This window comes from Homo sapiens, chromosome 7 (genome assembly GCF_000001405.40).
Source record: "Homo sapiens chromosome 7, GRCh38.p14 Primary Assembly".
Taxonomy (NCBI): domain Eukaryota; kingdom Metazoa; phylum Chordata; class Mammalia; order Primates; family Hominidae; genus Homo; species Homo sapiens.
Genome location: NC_000007.14, coordinates 118,508,249 through 118,528,935, shown reverse-complemented (window position 1 = coordinate 118,528,935; position 20,687 = coordinate 118,508,249). Strand labels below are relative to the sequence as shown.

The 20,687-nt window shown below is 33.5% G+C and overlaps 1 long non-coding RNA gene across 1 annotated transcript in view; it reads right to left on the bottom strand.

The window, feature by feature from the left end:
* Positions 1–20,687, bottom strand: part of LOC105375473 (uncharacterized) — a 66,227-nt gene that overhangs the window by 40,271 nt on the left and 5,269 nt on the right. Inside the window, exons 4-5 of the long non-coding RNA XR_927909.2 lie at positions 16,669–16,723; positions 15,109–15,158 (exon numbers count right to left, since the gene is read on the bottom strand). This is a non-coding gene — a long non-coding RNA (uncharacterized LOC105375473). The remainder of the gene's footprint in view (positions 1–15,108; positions 15,159–16,668; positions 16,724–20,687) is intronic.

The following is a 20,687-nucleotide window of genomic DNA, read 5'->3' as shown; positions in this document are numbered from 1 at the left end:
TGCGAAGAGAGACAATTTTACTTCCTCTCTTCCTATTTGAATGCCCTTTATTTCTTTCTCTTGCCTGATTGCCCTGGCCAGAACTTCCACTACTATGTTGAACAGGAGTGGTGAGAGACGGCAGCCTTGTCCTGTGCTGGTTTTCAAAGGGAATGCTTCTAGCTTTTGCCCATTCAGTATGATATTGGCTGTGGGTTTGTCATAAATGGCTCTTATTGTTTTGATATATGTTCCATCAATACCCGGTTTACCAAGAGTTTTTAACATGAAGGGATGTTGAATTTTATCAAAGGCCTTCTCTGTGTCTACTGAGATAATCATGTGGTTTTTGTCATTAGTACAGGTAATGTGATGAATTATGTTTATTGATTTGCATATGTTGAACCAGCCTTGTATCCCAGGGATGAAGCTAACTTGATTGTGGTGGATATGCTTTTTGATGTGCTGCTGGATTTGGTTTGCAGTATTTATTCAGGATTTTCACATCAATGTTCATCAGGGATATTGGCATGAAGTATTCTTTTCTTTTCTTTATTTCTTCTTAATTAAAAAGAAAAGGACACATGCGCAAAACGTGCAAATTTGTTACATAGGTCTATGTGTGCCATGGTGGTTTGCTGCACCTATTGACCCATAAGTTTTCTTTTTTTGTTGTATCTCTGCCAGGTTTTAGTATCAGGATAATGTTGACCTCATAAAATGAGGTAGGGAAAAGTCCCTACTTTTCAATTGTTTGGAATAGTTTCAGAAGAAATGGTACTGGCTCCTCTTTGTATCTCTGATAGAATTCGGCTGTAAATTCATCTGGTCCTGGGCTTTTTTTCATTGGTAGGCTATTTATTACTGCCTCAATTACAGAACTTGATATTGGTCTATTCAGGGATTCAATTTCTTCCTGGTTTAGTCTTGGGAGGGTGTATGTGTCCAGGAATTTATCCATTTCTTCTAGGTTTTCTAGATTATTTGCATAAAGATTTTTTTTCCAAGAGTCATTTGAATTTATTTGTATGTTAAAACGCTAAAGAAATATGTAGTATTTCATTCAAAATTTTTCACTTTGTCTACGGAGCCAAACTGCAGATAATTGTACTTGTAGCTCTTAGTAAACATATTATGTATTTAAAAACACATATTTCTCAATTTAAAGAATTTTGCAATCAAAGAAGCTAAGACTATCATGCTATTACTAAGAGCTGCATAGAGATATTTATAGTATTCTCTGATTGTTGTTTGTGTTTCTGCAGTGTCTGTGGTGATATCCCCTTTATCATTTTTATTGTGCCTATTTGATTCTTTTTTCTTCTTTATTAGTCTAGATAGCAGTCTATCTATTTAATTAATTTTTTCAGGAAAAAAACAGGTCCTGGATTCATTTATTTTTTGAAGGTTTTTTTGTGTCTCTATCTCTTTCAGTTCCACTCTGATCTTCGTTATTTCTGTCTTCTGCTAGCTCTGGATTTGTTGGTTCTTGCTTCTCTAGTTCTTTCAGCTGTGATGTTAGGGTGTCAGTTTGAGCTCTTTCTAGCTTTCATATGTGGGCATTTAGTGCTATAAATTTCCCTCTTAACACTGTTTTAGCTTTGTTCCAGAGATTCTGGTACATTGTCTCTTGGTTCTCATTGGTTTCAAATAACTTCTTGATTTCTGTCTTAATTCCATTATTTACCCAGGTGTCAATCAGGTGCAGGTTTTTCAATTTCCATGTATTTATGTGGCTTTGAGTGAGTTTCTTAATCTTGAGTTCCAGTTTGATTGCACTGTGGTCTGAGAGACTGTTTGTTATTATTTCAGTTCTTTTGCATTTTCTGAGGAGTGTTTTACTTCCAATTATGTGATCAATTTTAGAGTAAGTGTCATATGGCACTGTAAAGACTGTATATTCTGTTGTTTAGGGGTGGATAATTCTGTAGATATCTATCAGGTCCACCTGATCCAGAGCTGAGCTCAAGTCCTGACTAACTGTATTAATTTTCTGTCTTGATGATCTGTCTAATATTGACAATGGGGTGTTAAATTCTCTCACTATTAGTGTGTGGTGATCTAAGCCACTTTGTAGGTTTCTAAGAACTCCCATTCACAATTGCTACAAAAAATAAAATACCTAGGAATACAGCTAACAAGGGATGTGAAGAACCTCTTCAAGGAGAACTACAAACTGCTGCTCACAGTAATAAGAGAGGACACAAACAAATGGAAAAACATTCCATGCTCATGGATATGAAGAATCAATATTGTGAAAATGGCCATTCTGCCTAAAGTAATTAATACATTCAATGCTATTCCTATCAAGCTACCAGTGACTTTTTTTGCAGAATTAGAAAAAACCTACTTTAAATTTTATATGGAACCAAAAAAGAGCCTGCATTGCCAAGATAATCCTAAGCAAAAAATAACAAAGCTTGAGGCATCATGCTACCCAACTTCAAACTATACTACAAGGCTACAGTAACCAAAACAACATGGTACTGGTACCAAAACAGACACAGACCAATGAAACAGAAAAGAGACCTCAGAAATAATACCACACATCTACAACCATCCGATCTTTGACAAACCTGACAAAAACAAGTAATAGGAAAAGGATTCTCTACTCAATAAATGGCTCTGTGAAAACTGGTTAGCCATATGCAGAAAATTGAAACTGGACCCCTTCCTTACATCTTACACAAAAATTAACTCAAGAGGGATTAAAGACTTAAATGTAAAGCCTCAAAATATAACAACTCTAGAAGAAAACCTAGGCAATACCATTCAGAATATAGGCAAGGGAAAAGATTTCATGACCAAAACATCAAAAGCAATTGAAACAAAAGCAAAAGTTGACAAATGGAACCTAATTGAACTAAAGAGCTTTGGCACAGCAAAAGAATCTATCATCAGAGTGAACAGGCAATCAACGGAATGGGAGAAAACAGTTGCAATCTAACCATCTGACAAAGATCTAACATCCAGAATCTACAAGAAACATAAACACATTTACAAAAAAAAAAAAAAAAACCCTATCAAAAAGTGAGCAAAGGACATGAACAGACACTTCTCAAAAGAAGACATTTATGAGGCCAACTAATATATGAAAAAAAGCTCAACATCACTGATCATTACAGAAATGCAAATTAAAACCACAATGAGATACCATCTCATGCCAGTCAGAATGGCAATTATTAAAAAGTCAAGAAACAACAGATGCTGGTGAGACTGTGAAGAAACAGGAACACTTTTACACTGTTGGGGGGAATGCAAATTAGTTCAATCATTGTGGAAGACAGTGTGTTGATTCCTCAAGGACCTGGAACAAGAAATACCATTTGACCCAGAAATCCCATTATTGGGTATATACCCAAAGGAATATAAATCATTCTATTATATAAAGATACATGCATGTGTTTTTATTTTATTGCAGCACTATTCACAATAGCAACAACATGGAATCAACCCAAATGCCCATCAATGATAAAACAGATAAAGAAAATGTGGTACATAAATACCATGGAATACTATGCAGTTATAGAAAGGAATGAGATCATATCCTTTGCAGGGACATGGATGAAGCTGGAAGTCATTATCCTCAGTAAAGTAACACAGGAACAGAAAATCAAACATGACATGTTCTCACTCATAAGCAGGAGCTGAACAATGAGAACACATGGACACAGGGAGGGTAACAACACTCACTGGGGGCTGTTGGGGGAGGACAATGTGGTGACAGCATTAGGGAAAATAGCTAATGCATGCTGGGTTTAATACCTAGGTGACAGGTTGATAGGTGCAGCAAACAAGGTGGGGAGAGCATTAGGGAAAAGAGCTAATGCATGCTGGGCTTAATACATAGGTGATGAGTTGATAGGTGCAGCAAACCACCCCATGGCACATGTTTACTTATGTAATTAAACCTGCATGTCCTGCACATATATACCAGATCTAAAATAAAATACAAATTTTGTAAAAGCCCTGAGATCTAATAACCTTATTCTTTCACAGACATACAAAGACTGAAATGGACTTTCATGCTTTTAAGAAGAAATTACTTAATGTCCCAGAAAAATGGCATGCCCTCTGTCATTTCATTCAAGATTGTTCAAATGTCACCCTTTAAAGAATGTTTTTTTAAACACTCTTAATAATGTTTCATTACTCCCTATCTCTTAACCCTGTCTGATTTTCTTGATATAAGTTTTCATCACCAAATAATACAGTGTATAGTTGTTTGTCTGCATTTCTTACTGCAGTTTCTGCACTGCCTAAAACAGCATCTGGAATCTGAGTGCTTAGTAAAATATATATACCAATGGCAGAAAATAAACTTTATGGTCTTTACTGTCTTTTACAAGTAGTAGAGGATATTTTCTGCTTAAAAAAAAAGAGAGAGATAATGTAAGGAACTTATAAACATGAGGAAAGTGATCCAAGTTTTTAATTGTTTTGGAGAGTTGAAAAGGTAATTAAATATAAGAAGCCAAAGGGATGCTGAAGGTCATTTATTGGTTCATTTACTCATTCGTTCAGCTACATTTACTGAGTTCTTACTATATTAACATCATCTCTTCCCTCTTGCCCTCTCAAGGACTTTACTCTTTGGGTTCTTTAAGATTTGCATCATTTCTTTCTCTCTTTCTCAGTCATTACTGTCTTCCTTTTTATTGAGTGTTTCCATAGTCATGTAAACATGCGCTAGGAAATAGTATTCTATAGTGTTTTTCCTCTAACTCCACATCCCGCCTCAATCTCTACTTATTTTTTTCTGCTGCCCATCACAACCAAATATCTCCAGTTACATTATTACATCATCCACTATTTTTTAAATGTGGTAGAAGTTTTAAACTTTCAAGAATATAGTAACTCATGTACTATGAACACGTGCAATGCCAAAACTATAATTAACAAATATTAATATTTTGTCATATTGCTTGTGACTTTTGTCCATCAGTGGATGAATGCATAAAGAAAATATGGTACATATACACAAAAGGATACTACTGAGCTTCAAGAAAGAAGAAAATCCTGTCATTTGTGACAACATGGATTAACGTAGAGGATATTATGTTAAGTAAAATAAGCTAGTCATACAAAAATAGATACATAGACCAAAGTAACAAAATAGAGACCCCTGAAGTAAAACCACACATCTGCCACCAACAGATTTTCAACAAATTTGACAAAAACAAACAGTGGGAAAAGAATACCCTACTTAATAAGTAGCGCTGGGAAAACTGGCTAGCCATATGCAAAAGAATGAAACTGAGCCCTTACCTCTCACCATATATAAAAATTAACTCAAGATGGACTAAAGACTTTTAAATGTAAGATGCCAAACTGTAAAAGTCCTGGAGGAAAACCTAGGAAATACTGTTTGGGACATCAATCTTGGCAAAGAATTTTTAAGTCCTTAAAAGCTAATGGAACAAAAACAAAAATTGACAATTGGGACCTAATTAAACTAAAGAGCTGCACAGTGAAAGAAACTATCAACAGAGTAAACAGGGAACCTACAGAATGGGAGAAAACATTTGCAAACTATGCATCTGACAAAGGGCTAATATCCAGAATCTATAAGGAACTTAAACAAATCAAATAAAGAAAAACAAAGAAGTTATATTTATATATGCTATAATATTAGTTAATAATCAAGCTTATTTCTGAAATAATGCTTAATTCGAAGGGAAAATAAAAATGGAAAGAATATAGAAAACAATGAACCATAAACACAAGAATGCAGATATCTCTGATATACTAAATTTCTTGCTTACATATTCACCCAGAAGTGGGATCCCTGGATCATATGGTAGCTCTGTTTTTAGTGTTTTGAGAAACCTCCTGTTTTCCATGGTGGCTGTATTAATTTACGTCCCTACCAACATTGTACCCGGGTTTTCTTTTCTCCACACTCTCCCCAGCATTTGTTATTGCCTATCTTTAGGATAAAAGCCATTTTTAACCAGGGTAGGATAATATCTCAAGGTAATTTTGATTTGGATTTCACTTGTGATTAATGATGTTGAGCATTTTTTTCATATGCCAATTACCCATGTATATGTCTTCTTTTGAGAAATGACTATTCAGTTTATTTTGTTCATTTAAAAATCAGATTATTTATTTTTCTACTATTCAGTTTTTTGAGTTATTTATGCATTCTGGTTATTAATCCCTTGCCAGATATTTTGCAGATATTTTCTTCCATCCTGTACATTGCCTCTTCACCTTGATTGTTTTCTTTGCTGTGCAAAAGCTTTTTAGCTTGGTGTGATACCAATTGTCCATTTTTAATTCAGGCGTTTGTGCTTTTGAGGTCTTAGTCAAGAAATCTTTGCCCAGAACAACGTCCTGAAGCATTTATCAATGTTTTCTTCCAGTAGTTTTATTGTTTCAGGTCTTATATTTAAGTCTTTAATCCATTTTATTTTATATTTATATATGGTTAAATATAGGGGTCTAGTTTCATTCTTCTGCATACGGATATCCAGTTTTTCCAGAACAATTTGTTGAAGACTACCCTTTCCTGAGTGTATGTTCTTGGCACCTTTGTTGAAAATGTGTTGATTATAAATGTGTAGATTTATTTCTGGGTTCTATATTCTATTCCATTTGTCTACATGTCTGTTTTTATGCCAGAATCATTCTATTTTGGGTTTGTAGTATAATTTGAAGTCAGGTAATGTAATGTTTCCAATTTTATACTTTTTGTTCAGTGTTACTTTGGCTATTTTGAGTCTTCTGTGATTCTTATAAATTTTAAGATTTTTCCTATTTCTGTGAGAAATTTTGTTGGTATTTTAATAGGAATTGTATTGAATCTATAAATCAGTTTGGGTGGTGTGGACATTTTAACAATATTGGCTCTTCTATTTATGAACATGGGGTTTCTTTCCATATTTTTTATGTCTTCTTCAATTTCTTTCATCAATTTTTTATAGTTTTGATTGAAGAGATCTATTGCTTCTTTGGTTATATTTATTCCTTGGCATTTTATCTTATTTTTTGTAAGTGCATTGCTTTCTTCATTTCTTTTTCAGATTGTTCGCTGTTTGCATATAGAAATTCTTCCAAGTTTTGTGTGTTGATTTTGTATCCTGTAGCTTTACTTAATTCATTTATCAGTGCCAATCATTCATTAATCTTTAGATTTTTCTAAATATAAGATCATATTGTCTGAAAACAAGGACATTTTGACTTCTTTCTTTCTTATTTAGATGTCTTTTATTTCTTTCTCATGTCTAATTGCTCTGGATAATATTTCCAGTACGACATTGAATAAAAGTGGTAAAAGTGGGCATCCTTGTCTTGTTCCAGATTTTAGAGGAAAGACTCAGATTTTCTCCATTCAGTATGATGCTAGCTGTGGGAAATGCCCATCAAGGGATGCATAGATAAAGAAAACGTGTTATAGATACATGATGGAATATTATTCCACCATAAGAATAAAATCCTGTCATTTGTAATAACACAGACTGAACCAGAGGACATTAGGTTAAGTGAAATAAGCCAGGCATAGAAAGAAAAATGTCACATGTTCTCACATATAAATGGGAGCTACAAAAAATTAATCTCATGAAGGTAGTAAATAAAATCATGGTTACTAGAGTGTGGGAAGGGAAGTGGGGAGAAGGAGAGTAAGAGTTGTTAATTAATGGGCACAAAAATACAGTCAGATAGAAGAAATAAGATGTAGTGTTTGGTAGCACAGTAGGATGACTATAGTTAATAATAATTTATTGTATCTCAAAATTGCTTGATAGGTAGATTTGGAATGTTTACAAATAAAAAAATAAATGTTTGAGATAATAGATATCCCAATTATTCAGACTTGATTATTACACATTGCATGCTTTTCTCAAAATGTCACATGCACCCCATGAATATGTATAAGTATTATGTATCCATAAAAATTAAGAAAGTGATGATACTAAAACAAATGTGTATTAGAACCTATGAAGTCTAGCTAAAATATGCCCTATAAGGGCAAACACAAATTAGAAATAAGAGTCTTAATTTTCCCTATTGAAAATAAGAGAAGAGACTTCCTCCTTCCCCCTTTCCTTGTCTTAGAGCATTCACTTTAAATAATGTGTCAGTTCTTTCTTTGTCCCCTTGAAATGATGTAAATATTTTAAACTGCTAAATAAATAATTGGACAAATAAAAATTACCACCTTTACAACCCATGCATGGATTTCTCAAAAACCAGAAAGCCATCTCTTTGACATATAATCATCAAAAAGGACACTATTCCATTTTGTGGGGAGAACAACAGCCAAATTTTTTGCAGACACCTTGGTGCATAACTACTTTTAGTCATAAAGATTTGAGCCTTTTATTTTTATTTTGGATAAAGCCAATTAACACCGACAGCCATGCAAATTACCAGGTGACAACTGGATAAACTGGGCATGGCCAATAGTGCAGTCCAGTCCTCATACTTCAAAACTAGCTGTTTTCTTGAGAACATGTCTGTTATTGGTTCTATCGGCTTATCTATATAAAAGGGTGATATTTTATTATATCTGAAATCCTCTTAGATTACCTGTGCTGCACCTCACACTCTAATTCAATGCTAATTCAATAATAAAATTATTTTATTTCTCTTATGCCATTGTGGAAAGCTTTTCTGAGTTGGGAAGAGATTTTGCTTTTAATTGTAATTCCCCTACACCAGTGGAAGATCCAGTGCTTAAGTACTGACATTACAGAAACTCAAAAGAAAAAAGACTAATAATTAAAGCTATTTGTCAATGTTTTTTACCATGTTAATAAATCAGAAGACATAATTATACAATTACCTCCCTTATTATTTTTAATAAGAATTATTAACATTCATTTGGAATTAATTTATTTTATGTGGTTCTTTCTTTGCTCTGCTCTCTTGATTCTCAATCTTTATTTTTCTTTAATTCATTTTTTATTTCATTTAAAGCATCTCCTAAGTTATTCTTAGGAGAATATCAGATGTAATAACCTTTCTGATTCTATGCACATCTGAAAATAGTTTTGTTTTTTATCACACTGAGTGGCTCTGAATAGGATTTATAAACCAAAAACAAAATTCTAAGCCTCCCAACCATCTGAACTGACCACTTCCTTGGCCAAGGGGATCCCAAAGAAACCTGAAAAACTAGTTCAGGTGATGATGGGAAGGGAGGTTGGACATGCCCTTACACCCCCTCCCTTTGGAGTTTAGGCACAACTGACCAGCAATAACATTAAAATAGAGTGCATAAGATGGACAAAACAGATTCTTTGTTGCAATAAGATAACTAATTCCAACCTGATTCTGGTATAGTACCACAAGACAGACAGTGGTTCCTGAGAGAAATCAAAGTATTTTACTCCAAAATATATTCATTTGACATATTTTGATATGACTTTGCAAGATTGTCTTGTGTGGAGGAATTTTGCATTCTCTAGAGAATCTCCTTCCCTTTGTAGGTCTTTTCTGGATCTTTTTAAGGTCGGAAGAGAGAGATTTACCAACTACTCTCTCTGCAGCCTGCTACTTGGAGGCTTCATCCTCTTAACAAGAACCTTGGCTTCTACAACTCCCCTTATCTTAACTCAAGTGTTTCTTTTTATTTGTTTTTTCAACTTTTATTTTAGAATCAGGGGTTACATGTGAAGGATTATTACAGAGGTATATTGCATGGTGCTGAGGTTTTGGATATGACTGAATCAGTTTCCCTGGTATTCAGCATAGTACCCAATAGGTAGTTCTTCAGCCCTTGGCCCCATCCCTCTCTCTCTGCTGTAGTACTCCTCATGCCTATTGTCTCATCTTTATGTTTATGTGTACTGCATGTTAGCTCTAACCTATAAGTGACACCAAAAGTATCTGGGTTTTCTGTTTCTGCATTAATTCAATTAGTTAAGGCCTCCAGCTGTATCCATGTTGCTGTAAAAGACATGATTTTGTGTATATGTATCACATGTTCTTTATCCAATCCACTGTTGATGGGCACTTAGGTTGTTTCCATGTTTTGGCTATTGTGAATAGCACTGTGATGAACAGACAGGTGCATGTGTCCTTTAAAGAAATCACAAATAACAAAAATAAATAGAAAAACGTTCCATGCTCATGGACTAGAAGAATCAATAACATTAAAATTGCCACACTGTCCAAAGCAATATGCAGATTCAATACTATTCCTTCCTCAAGCATTTCTTTCTGCTGACTTCAACTCTAGGCAAAGCTTAACTCTTTTCAACCAAATAGCCAATCAGAAAATCTTTGGATCCACCTATGACCTGTAACTCACTCCCACCTCCAGCTTCCAGGTATCTCACCTTTCTGGGCTATCTATACTTTACATGTATTGATTTATGTCTTTGCCTATAGCTTCTTTCTCTCTAAGATACGTAACCACACCATACCCCAACCATCTCAGCCACATGTTCTCAGGACTGCTTGAGATTATACCCCAGGTCATGGTTACTCATATTTGGCTTAAAATAAGCCTCTTTAAATATTTTACAGAGTTTGTTTTTTTATCAACAGATTCTAAATTCAAATTGTTTTTTTCCTTTAAACCTTTCTCAACATTGTTCTATTGTCTAGAAGCACTGGATCTTACAAATAAAAAAAGGTAGAAGCATTTCTGATTTTGGTTTGTAGGTCTCTTTGGAATTTGTTGTCATCTTTAATAATTTTAATTTTATCATTGGTGTTGAAAATTCACTAAAATCCATCTAGATATAAATAGTTGTTCATTCTTCCTGTTATTTAGTGAGCATTTTCATCTGAAAGTTTATATTTCTTAAATATTAGCAGTTCTTTTTCTATTTGCTTTTCTTCCCCTTTACTCATTCTTATTTTTCCTTCTGTTATTCTGTCAAATAAATACTGGAATTTTAGGGTAAATACTCAATTTTTAAACTATCTCTTTTGTATTTACTAGTCTTATAATTTTGCAGTAATTTCAGGGAGAATCCTCTGTTCCAATTTTCCAAGTCACTGAAGATTGGGCAATCAAGTTATACAGTTATTTTATTGGGATATTTTCCATGATCATAAAATTGTTACTTTAAAAATTCTTTATTTATTTTCATAGATGCCATATTTTCCTCAACTTTTCAGAGAGCGTTCAGCTTAATTTTTTTTGTTGCTTATATGTTAGTGTTCTTAGTTGAGTCAGTTGCTTCTCTTCATGCTGCTTGTCTTTCTCAAAAGTTTTGTGATTCTTGATTGTCTGTGTATCATTAAGATTTGAAATATCTTATTTCCCAGATTTGGCACTTTAGGCTACACTGGTCATGTTAAGGGGTCGTATGAGAGATTCCTGGGGTCCTCGGCAGGCATTTTGTCTTCTGCTTATAGAGGCTTTCCATTACTTGTGAATATATGTTTCTACACTAGACATTGCCTGTGTTTAAGCCCCAGTTCCCACACTCAATGATTTGGTTTGGTAAAAATATTACTGCCCACAGCTCAACAAGAAGGTAGGTGGGAGGAGCCATGGCAGCAGAGGAACTCCCATATCCATGCCACCTTCTATTTGTGATCCTAAGCATTTCCTGCTTCATTTATCTGCTGCTTCAATGTTTAGGAATTTCTGGAATGGTCCTAATGTTCCAGTAGTCTCTTACTGTAAATGCCTTGAGCTGTGATTTTTCTAGCTTTAGTTCTCTTCCACTTATAACTGATGTTTTTTGAATTTTTTTCCAGGAATATGTCAATATTTGTGGTCCATTTATAACATTCTAGTTTTGCATGACTACTATAGTGTGGATAGTTCTGTAATATCTATGCCATTTTAGATTACATTGGACAAACAAAAATTTTTTTAAAGTCTTGCCAATTTCTTCTTTACCTCTTGATAATTCCAATGATCAGCAGATTTTAATTTATATAAAGTTGTTATCTTATATCTTTCAAATAGCATTATATAATATATGATGAATTTCTGTATTTCATACATACTTCAAAGTAAAAGCACTTATTTGGAAATTATTAAATATATTTTCTTAAAATACATGTACTTCAGAAATTAACATACCCTAAAACTATATTATATACAGATAGTAGGATAACCTGAATGTGTTTATATTAAAACCCAGAATTTCATTTAAAAAGAAGGAATGTGGGGAGAATGCAGAACAGAAAACAGCATGATGACACTTGTCTCAGATGTATCCTTTCTTCTCTGAGCCTTATGGTAAGAGTGAGCTGCTGGCTAAGCTAAATGGGACATTTCTACTAGAAACTGTGAGAAAAGAGGGTACAAGGAGTACTACATGTTTTTCCAGGTAGCAAAGTGTTAACTCAAGTGAGGAAAAGAAATATTTTGTATACTTCTTGACAAACCAAAAATGGCTTCAAGGCTTCAGCACATTGAGGAAACAAGAGACCAGAATGGCAAATTAGCACCTTGTAAGTCTGCAAGCTTGGAAGCATCTACAGCAGCCTTAGCAGAGGCATTGTTGGGCCCAGTGGATAGTAGCAGTAGTGACAGAATAGAGACTCCAACCTCAAATGCCTGCTCAGGTTAGAGAATATCTAACATTTAACACTGAACCTATGTGAGACATTCCCAGAAACTGAAACTTTGCAGGTAAAATCTTACAGCAATTCATTGTGTCCAGAGCCAACAAAATACCGATTATAAAATAAAATTATCACATGGTTAGAATGTATAACTACTAGCAAGATACATGAGGTTCTTTAAGTTGTTTTGCTGCAGAAATTACCATCTTATAAATTTTTGCAGTGTTATTCTATCATCGTGATTACATAAAAATGCAATTTATAAGGCTTTTTCCATGGACCTAAATCCTGTCATAAATTTGCAATCAATATTGTACTTAATAACAACCAGGATGGAAATTATACACACACATACATAAACACTCACACACACACACACACACACACACACACACACACACAGATTTATTTTAGGGAATGAGATCATGCAATTATGGGAACCGGCAAGTTTGAAATCTATACGGCAGGCTGAAAATTCAGGTAAAAAGTTGATGTTGTAGTCCTGAGTCATAAACCTATAGGGCTGGTGAGCAGACTGGAAATGTGGGCAGTATTTCTACATCGCAGTTTTGCAGCAGCATTCTGTCTTCTCTGGGAAACCTCAGTTTTTGCTTTGAAACTCTTCAAATAATTAGAGGAGGCCTACTCCCATTATGGAGGTAATCTTTTTAACTTAAAGTCAACTGATTATAAATGTTAGTCATATCTACAAAATACCGTTACAGCAAAATCTAGACTAGCGTTTGACCAAACAACTGGGCACCACATCCTAGCCAAATTGACACACAACCATCACACATATCTAAAATCTGAATCTGACTCAAAAGTGATTGCAACTTAAAATATAAGTTGGCCTAGTGGCAATCTTGAATGAGTTGTCATTGCTTGTTCATATACAAATAATAAAAGCTTTACTGTCATTTTTTTTTCAGAATAAATATCCGTGCTCTGGAGGAAATTCTGGAGAAGAATAACTTTTAGGAACCAAATTTTTATCAATATTGATAGGGAGATGGAATCATCAGACCATTTAACATTCCCAAAGCAACAGTACAAAGTAGAATACTTCCACTGACTTGCAAAGCCAGTTTAAAAACCAGCAACAATGGTTTTGTCATTTTTTTATAGATTACTTTAGAAAATTTGTATTAAAAACTAACCCTCATAATGGCATGAAAAGTATTTTGGGGGAATAACAGATGTTACCAGCTCGAAATTTAAACAGGATTCAAAGGATAACCAATTGCTATTATCTTCCATTGTATGTATTAACAATAATAATATACATTAAAATTATGCATAGTCTAAAAGTTATCTTTCAAAATTGATAAAATAAAAATTGTAAAAACAGAAAGCATTGCTATACTTTAATTCCTAGCATTTTTAAAATCTGATACAGTATACAAAATACTGTTGCATCTTACAGTATTAAATGAACATGTCATGGTAAATACAAGGACACACTTAAAATATGATGACATTTTGTATATCAAAATCAAAAACTGTGTCTACTTTATATAGACAGTATCTTCTCTGTTTATATGTCAAGCTAATGTTAAGAAGTCTGATCCATATGGCCTGTTACAACAGTGTATCATGCTAAGAAAACAGCCAAGTTATTTCCAGTACACTTAAAGAATTAATTTGTGTTCTAAATGATTTGGTTAGTTAAGTTACTTGAACTACTAAGAAGTCTCTGTCAATAATTCTCAGGCTTAACTAGGTGAAATAGAAAAGAAAGAATTTGGGTGTAATAAGATGGTATGAATTGGTTAGTAGAGTTGAATTTAGAGTTTCATTCCTTTGTTTCTAAAAATTTTTAAAGAAAACTTTTCTAACCTTATGTATTTTAAAAGTTAGGAAAAATATAAGCTTCTACTACATTTTAAGAGAATGCAATGGATCCATCAAAACTGGCAAAAAAAATTAGTCAAGCAAGATTACAATGCAATACAAAAATCATAATTTTTAAGGAAATCGATATTGCTGTTTTATCTTTGCATATTCCTGTTAATTTTTATTGTTTTATTTCATTTCATATTTTAAATTTAATTGTAGTAAAAATACTGATCTACCCTCTTAAATTTTTAAGTATACATTACATTATTGTTGACTACAGATACCATGTTGTACAGCAGATATCTAGAGCTTATTTATCTTGCTTGACAGAAACTTTATGCCTATTGATTAGTAATTTCCTGCTTGTTTTATTTCGTATTGTTTACTTTTTGTATGTGGCTAGTCATTACCTTGGTCCAAAATGGTAACGTGTGAGTTGCCCTATATATTATTTTCATTCAAGGAGTCAGAGGGTATTTAATCTTTATGTCCTAGCAGATGAAAATATTTGGGTACATGCTACATTTCAATGAAAAATGAGACCAGACATTAAAGACAGAAGAAAGGAGACTTCATAGAAATAAATGGTGAGTTATTAGTTTGAAATGTTTATGGTGGATAATTATAACTAAAATTTGAGTAAGAGTAATAGTTATAAATTTATTTGAAGAACGATACTATAATGGAAATTCCATAATAACCCAGAACAAAATATATTTCTAGAAAGACAAATTTATCATTTAAATTTAACACATCACTTGAGAAAAAATACAATGAAGGTAACGTTAAAAATGTATTATTTACCTTAATAAACTTGAATGCTTTGAATTTCTAAACCAAAAGATGAAATATTCCTAATGAAAAAATAAAGACAATCCATGTATTTGCTATTTACAAGAACAAAGTATTAAATATTAAAAATACATAAAAATATACCAGGATAAATGCAATAAAATCAAAGTTAAAATAATTATATTAATACTTGATACTGAACATTCAAAGTTAAAACAGGTTCTTTCTATATAGAAACATATTGATGGAGAGGAAACAAGGATAAATATGGATACATAGTATATACTAAATTAAAATCACTATAAGGCTGGGCACTGTGGCTCAGGCCTGTAATCCCAGCCAGCCAAGGCAGGCAGATAAATTAAGGCCAGGAGTTTGAGACCAGCCTAGCTAACATGGTGAAACCCCGTCTCTACTAAAAATACAAAAATTAGCAGGGCATAGTGGCATGCACCTGTAGTCCCAGCTACATGGGAGGCTGAGGCAGGAGAATTGCTTGAACCTGGGAGGTGTAGCTTGCAGTGAGCCGAGATTGCACCACTACACTCCAGCCTGGAAGACAGAGCAAGACTCGCCCAAGTGACAGAGTGAGATTCTAAAAAAAAAAAAAAAAGACAGATTCTATTCATAATAGCTCCCTAAGTTATCTATTTCGTGGAACAAATATAACAAAATATTTGAAAGATGTTTAGTAAACTAATAGAGAGAGATAGAAGATCCACACATGGGAAGAATCTATACATTATAAAAATTTCAATTATTCTCACATCATTCTAAATAAATTCAATCAAAACCCCAAAAAGAACTTGCCTAAATAGCAAGCTCATTTTAAGGTTAAAACAGTATAATAAATATTGTTTAGTATGTGAGGCAATTTTGTAAAAGAAAAACAAAGAGCCAAATAAATCAATAATTAATACTGATATGACGGTTCATCAATTTGGAAAAAAATAAAGTTATATCCCATTTTCACACCTTGTCTTATGCTGACATAGAAAATACCATAGAGTAGGTGTTTGGTTTGGTTTTGTTTTCTAGACAGAGTCTCGCTCTGTCACCCAGGCTGGAGTATCGTGTCATGATCTTGGCTCACTGCAACTGCAGCCTCCCGGGCTCAAGTGATTCTCCAGCCTCAGCCCCCTGAGTAGCTAGGACTACAGGTATGCACCTCCACACTCAGCTAATTTTTGTGTTTTTAGTAGAGATGGGATTCGCCTGTTGACCAGGCTGGTCTCGAACTCCTGTCCTCAAGTGATCTGCCCACCTCATCCTCCCAAAGTGCTGGGATTACAAGTGTGAGCCACTGCTCCCAGCCGAGTATGTGGTTTAAACAACAGAAATTTATTTTCTGTTGGTTCCAATGGCTAGAAGTTAAAGATCAGGGTTCCAGGATGCCTGGATTCTGGTGAGGGCTCATTTTCTGGCTTGCAGAGTGCCATTCTCCTCACTGTGTGGCTCACATGGCCTTTCCTCAGTTCATGCACATGGAGAGAGAAATATTGCTCTTTCTCTTCTTCTTATAAGGCTACCAATTCTATAGAACCAGGACCCTACTATTAGGACCTTAATTACCTCCAAAAATCCTGTCTCCAAATATAGTCATCTTGGGGATAGGGCTTCAGCACACCTATATGAAAACAAGAGTTACATGATTTCAAAGGTCCACATATATAAACAAAGAAAAACTATTAATATATAGATGATAATATAACAATAGTAATTTTATAACCTACTGTTTCTTTATTTGTTCCTCCATTTATCAGGAAATATCAAAACTGTTTGCCTTTAAACAATGTGTTATTAATAGAGGAATTCACATTTTTTCCCAACGGACTAGAAAAGTCTCAGAGAGAGACTGATGTATGCAAGGGACTGATTTTATTTCCAACCAATATACAAGGAGAGACAAGTCAACAAACAATCTTTGAACAATGGACTATTCATATGATGATTACTCAAAAATTTTTATCTCTAGTGAGGATTTCTATCCTGAATTTTGCCAATAGAATTTGAGCTCCTTGAACATTAATATTATAATTTTTTTTGAGATGGAATCTTGCTCTGTCACCCAGGCTGGAGTGCAGTGGTATGATCAATATTATTTCTCAATTATAAGTTATTCCCATGTTTCAGAGCCCATGATTCATTCATTAAGATAATCATAACAGTTGTGGACTATAAGCAGTTTATCTGTAACACTTAAAAATAATAGTTTAGGCATTATTTAAATAGTATAAATACTTCTAATTTTACCCAACGTCTGTAATGATGGGAAACAATTAATGGGGAGGGAAAAGTTCATGTGATCTTCCATTTTATTGACAAGAGTACATTAACTTGCTAACAAATTCACTGCAGATAAAAGCATTAATCAAGATGATAAGAATAAAGAATCTTATGGAAAAAGTAAATATCTATATGCACAATTTAAAGGACTGTCAATATTGCTGCAGTGTCACTTCACATGACTCATGATTACATCCAAGGGCTGTCTCGGGGAGAAAGGGAAAAGACAACGGGAACAAAGAGCTCTTTCAAAGAGGTTTGCCATAAAGGAGAGCATAGAAATAGGATGGTAGCTGAAGGATGATATGGGGTAAAAAGATTTTTAAAATATGAAAGATAGTGCCAGGCATGGTGGCTCATGCCTGTAATCTCAGCACATTGGGAGGCTGAAGTGGGTGGATTACTAGGTCAGGAGATCAACACCATCCTGGCCAACATGGTAAAACCCAGTGTGTACTAAATATAGAAAAATTAGCCAGGCAGGGTGGTGCGTGTCTGTAATCCCAGCTACTCGGGAGGCTGAGGCAAGATGATCACTTGAACCCAGGAGGCGGAGGCTACAGTGAGCCGAGATTGTGCCAGTGCACTCCAGCCTGAGAGATACAGTGAGACTCCATCTCAAAAAAAGAAAACCAAATATATATATGTATATATATATACACACGTATGTGTATATATATATATATATACGTATATATTCACATACATGTGTGTAAATATATATACATATATATACATATATGTATGTATGAGAGATAGTACAGCACACATGTATGCTGATAAGATGATCAAAATAAAAAGGGGATGATGCTGGTGCTATAAAGAGAGATTGGCCAATAGATTATATTTGAGCAGGTGGTTATCTATATGCTGATTACTCATTGGCAATAACTTGTATAACACTCACTGGCAATTAACTTGTATAACACTCTTCATTTGGCCAGCTTTATTTACTTTCTCTTAATGTTATTGGTGCATGACTTAGTAAGATAGGTAATAATACAAGCGAAAGGTGTGTGCCTGCACCTTATTTTTTAAATTGTTTTAAATAATTTGTTATAATAAATTTTTGAATTGCTTCATCGAAATCATTAGCATTGTCACTTGAGTATTACACATTTTAAAAAATACCAATTTATAGAACCACCAGTATAAGTGAATGCTACAATTGTGACATTCTTATGTTATTTATCTTGAGATCTGCGTCCATAGAATCTCTAAGGTGTTTGAACCACACATCCCTAATTTGCCCACATACTCAGTTTTCCAGCAGTATATTCAACATCTTCATTCAAAGGCCTAATGAACACTTTCAAAATTAAGTTTGTCTAGACTATATTCCCTTTACCACACTCTATCCTTCTCACACCTGGCTCCTCTGACAATTTTCCTTTTCTGAAACTGACTTTCAGGATTATAGGAAAGGTAAACATAAAAAATAAGTTTTTGGGTTATATTCTTAACACTTAATCTTTCTCCCACAGTTCACATTAAATCTATCAGTAAATATTTTCATATCTGCTTTTAAAATATTTCAAAGACTAGATCATTTTCAATGTTTATACCATCACCAGCTTATTAAAACCATCATCATCTCTCATTTGCACATTTCAGTATCCTCTAAATTGGTCTTACAGGTCTTCACTTATCCACCAGAGTATATGTTCTTGAAAGTGTTAATAATGGTCTTTTACAACACATTAGATTGTGTAAGAATGCTGTAACAACCACTTATTAGCTTGCAAAATTATTTACAATCAGTGAGATAAAGAGGGACTTTTCATTAAAAAATTACACCATCAGAATAGTAGAGGTTTTCTTAAACAAGATCTAAAAAACAAAGTCAAGAATGATTTTATACATTTGAATACATCCATAGTCAACACTTGTATAAAATAACCCAAATTTAAGACAGCCAGCAAAATCAGAGAATGCATTTGTATCATAAAACAAATATCAAACTATCCATAATTCATACATATTAATAAAAAAGACAAAAAGATCCAACAGAAAATATAGCAAAGACCAACAAATTCACAAATATTAAACATAAATGTCTAATAAACAAAAAGAAGCCAAAGATAACTACTTTGGTGGAATAAAATCAATGCATCAGGTATCATTTTCGTATAGATTGAAAAAACTCTAAAAGTCTGATAATACTAAAGATCAGTGAAGATACTGAGAAACAACTGATAGAGCTTTAAATTTAGAACAAGCATTCAGGGTAATCTGGAATATATTTTTTAAATATTATATGCTCATATAATTCATCAATTTCATTTCTAGGGAAACAGCACAAAATGAGATGTAAGAAAATAGAACAGTGAGAAATTTGCAAGTACCTAATGTTTTTGATAAGGGAAAGGCTAACCAAACATATATTCATACAATTAAATATTATGTGGCAATTAAAAGTATGAGATCAATATGAACTAATGTGTCTATACTGTCAAGAAATATTATTGAAAGGGAAAGCAGTCAGAGAGAAAAACATAAAAACATAGGGTGTGATAAGCTTCCATACACCTATGTGTTTGTGTGTGTAGATACACGTATTTGGATATGTGCATACATATGCTGTGAATATATATTCACAACACAATAATACATATATTTTCTATGACCATACATATGGATAGTACTATACTTAAGCACAATTCTTTGAAAAATCCCAAATTGATGTGTTTTTAATGAGATTAATACAAAATCATCTGTATTATCCAAATAATTGCAATGCCATCATAAAGACACATATTAACTGTTTCTGAAATACTGCACTAAAAGACTTCAAAATTTCTTTTTTTCTTAAAATAAATAGAAGAGTGGGAAAATATTCAGTAAAATAGTCAAATGTTGTTAGATAAAATTTTTCTATTAATCTGTGATGTCTTGTTTTTTGATAAATTATCTCATGAAATGTATTCGTGAAAAAAGGGCATATATTTCATATTCCACTGATGAAATTTACCGAGTTAGATGATAAAAATGTGACAGAACATGAAGTTCATTGTCTAAGAGTATAAGTAACAGCTGATAAGTATCTCTAAATGCACCTTGTAGAACTACCTTGAATAGTCAGCCAGATATTTCTATATTAAGTACTCTGAAACAAAGTTGATAATGCAAGAGGCATCTCCATCCCACCCTACACAAACACTGCAAATTTCATATTACTTGAGGTTATAACTATTTCTGCCATTTCACCTTTTTACAAATAATTGAGAGACCAAACACTCTAACCCCAAATTTGACCTGGCCCAAGTTAAACAAACCTTAAATTTCAAATTTGGGCTGTATCTTTA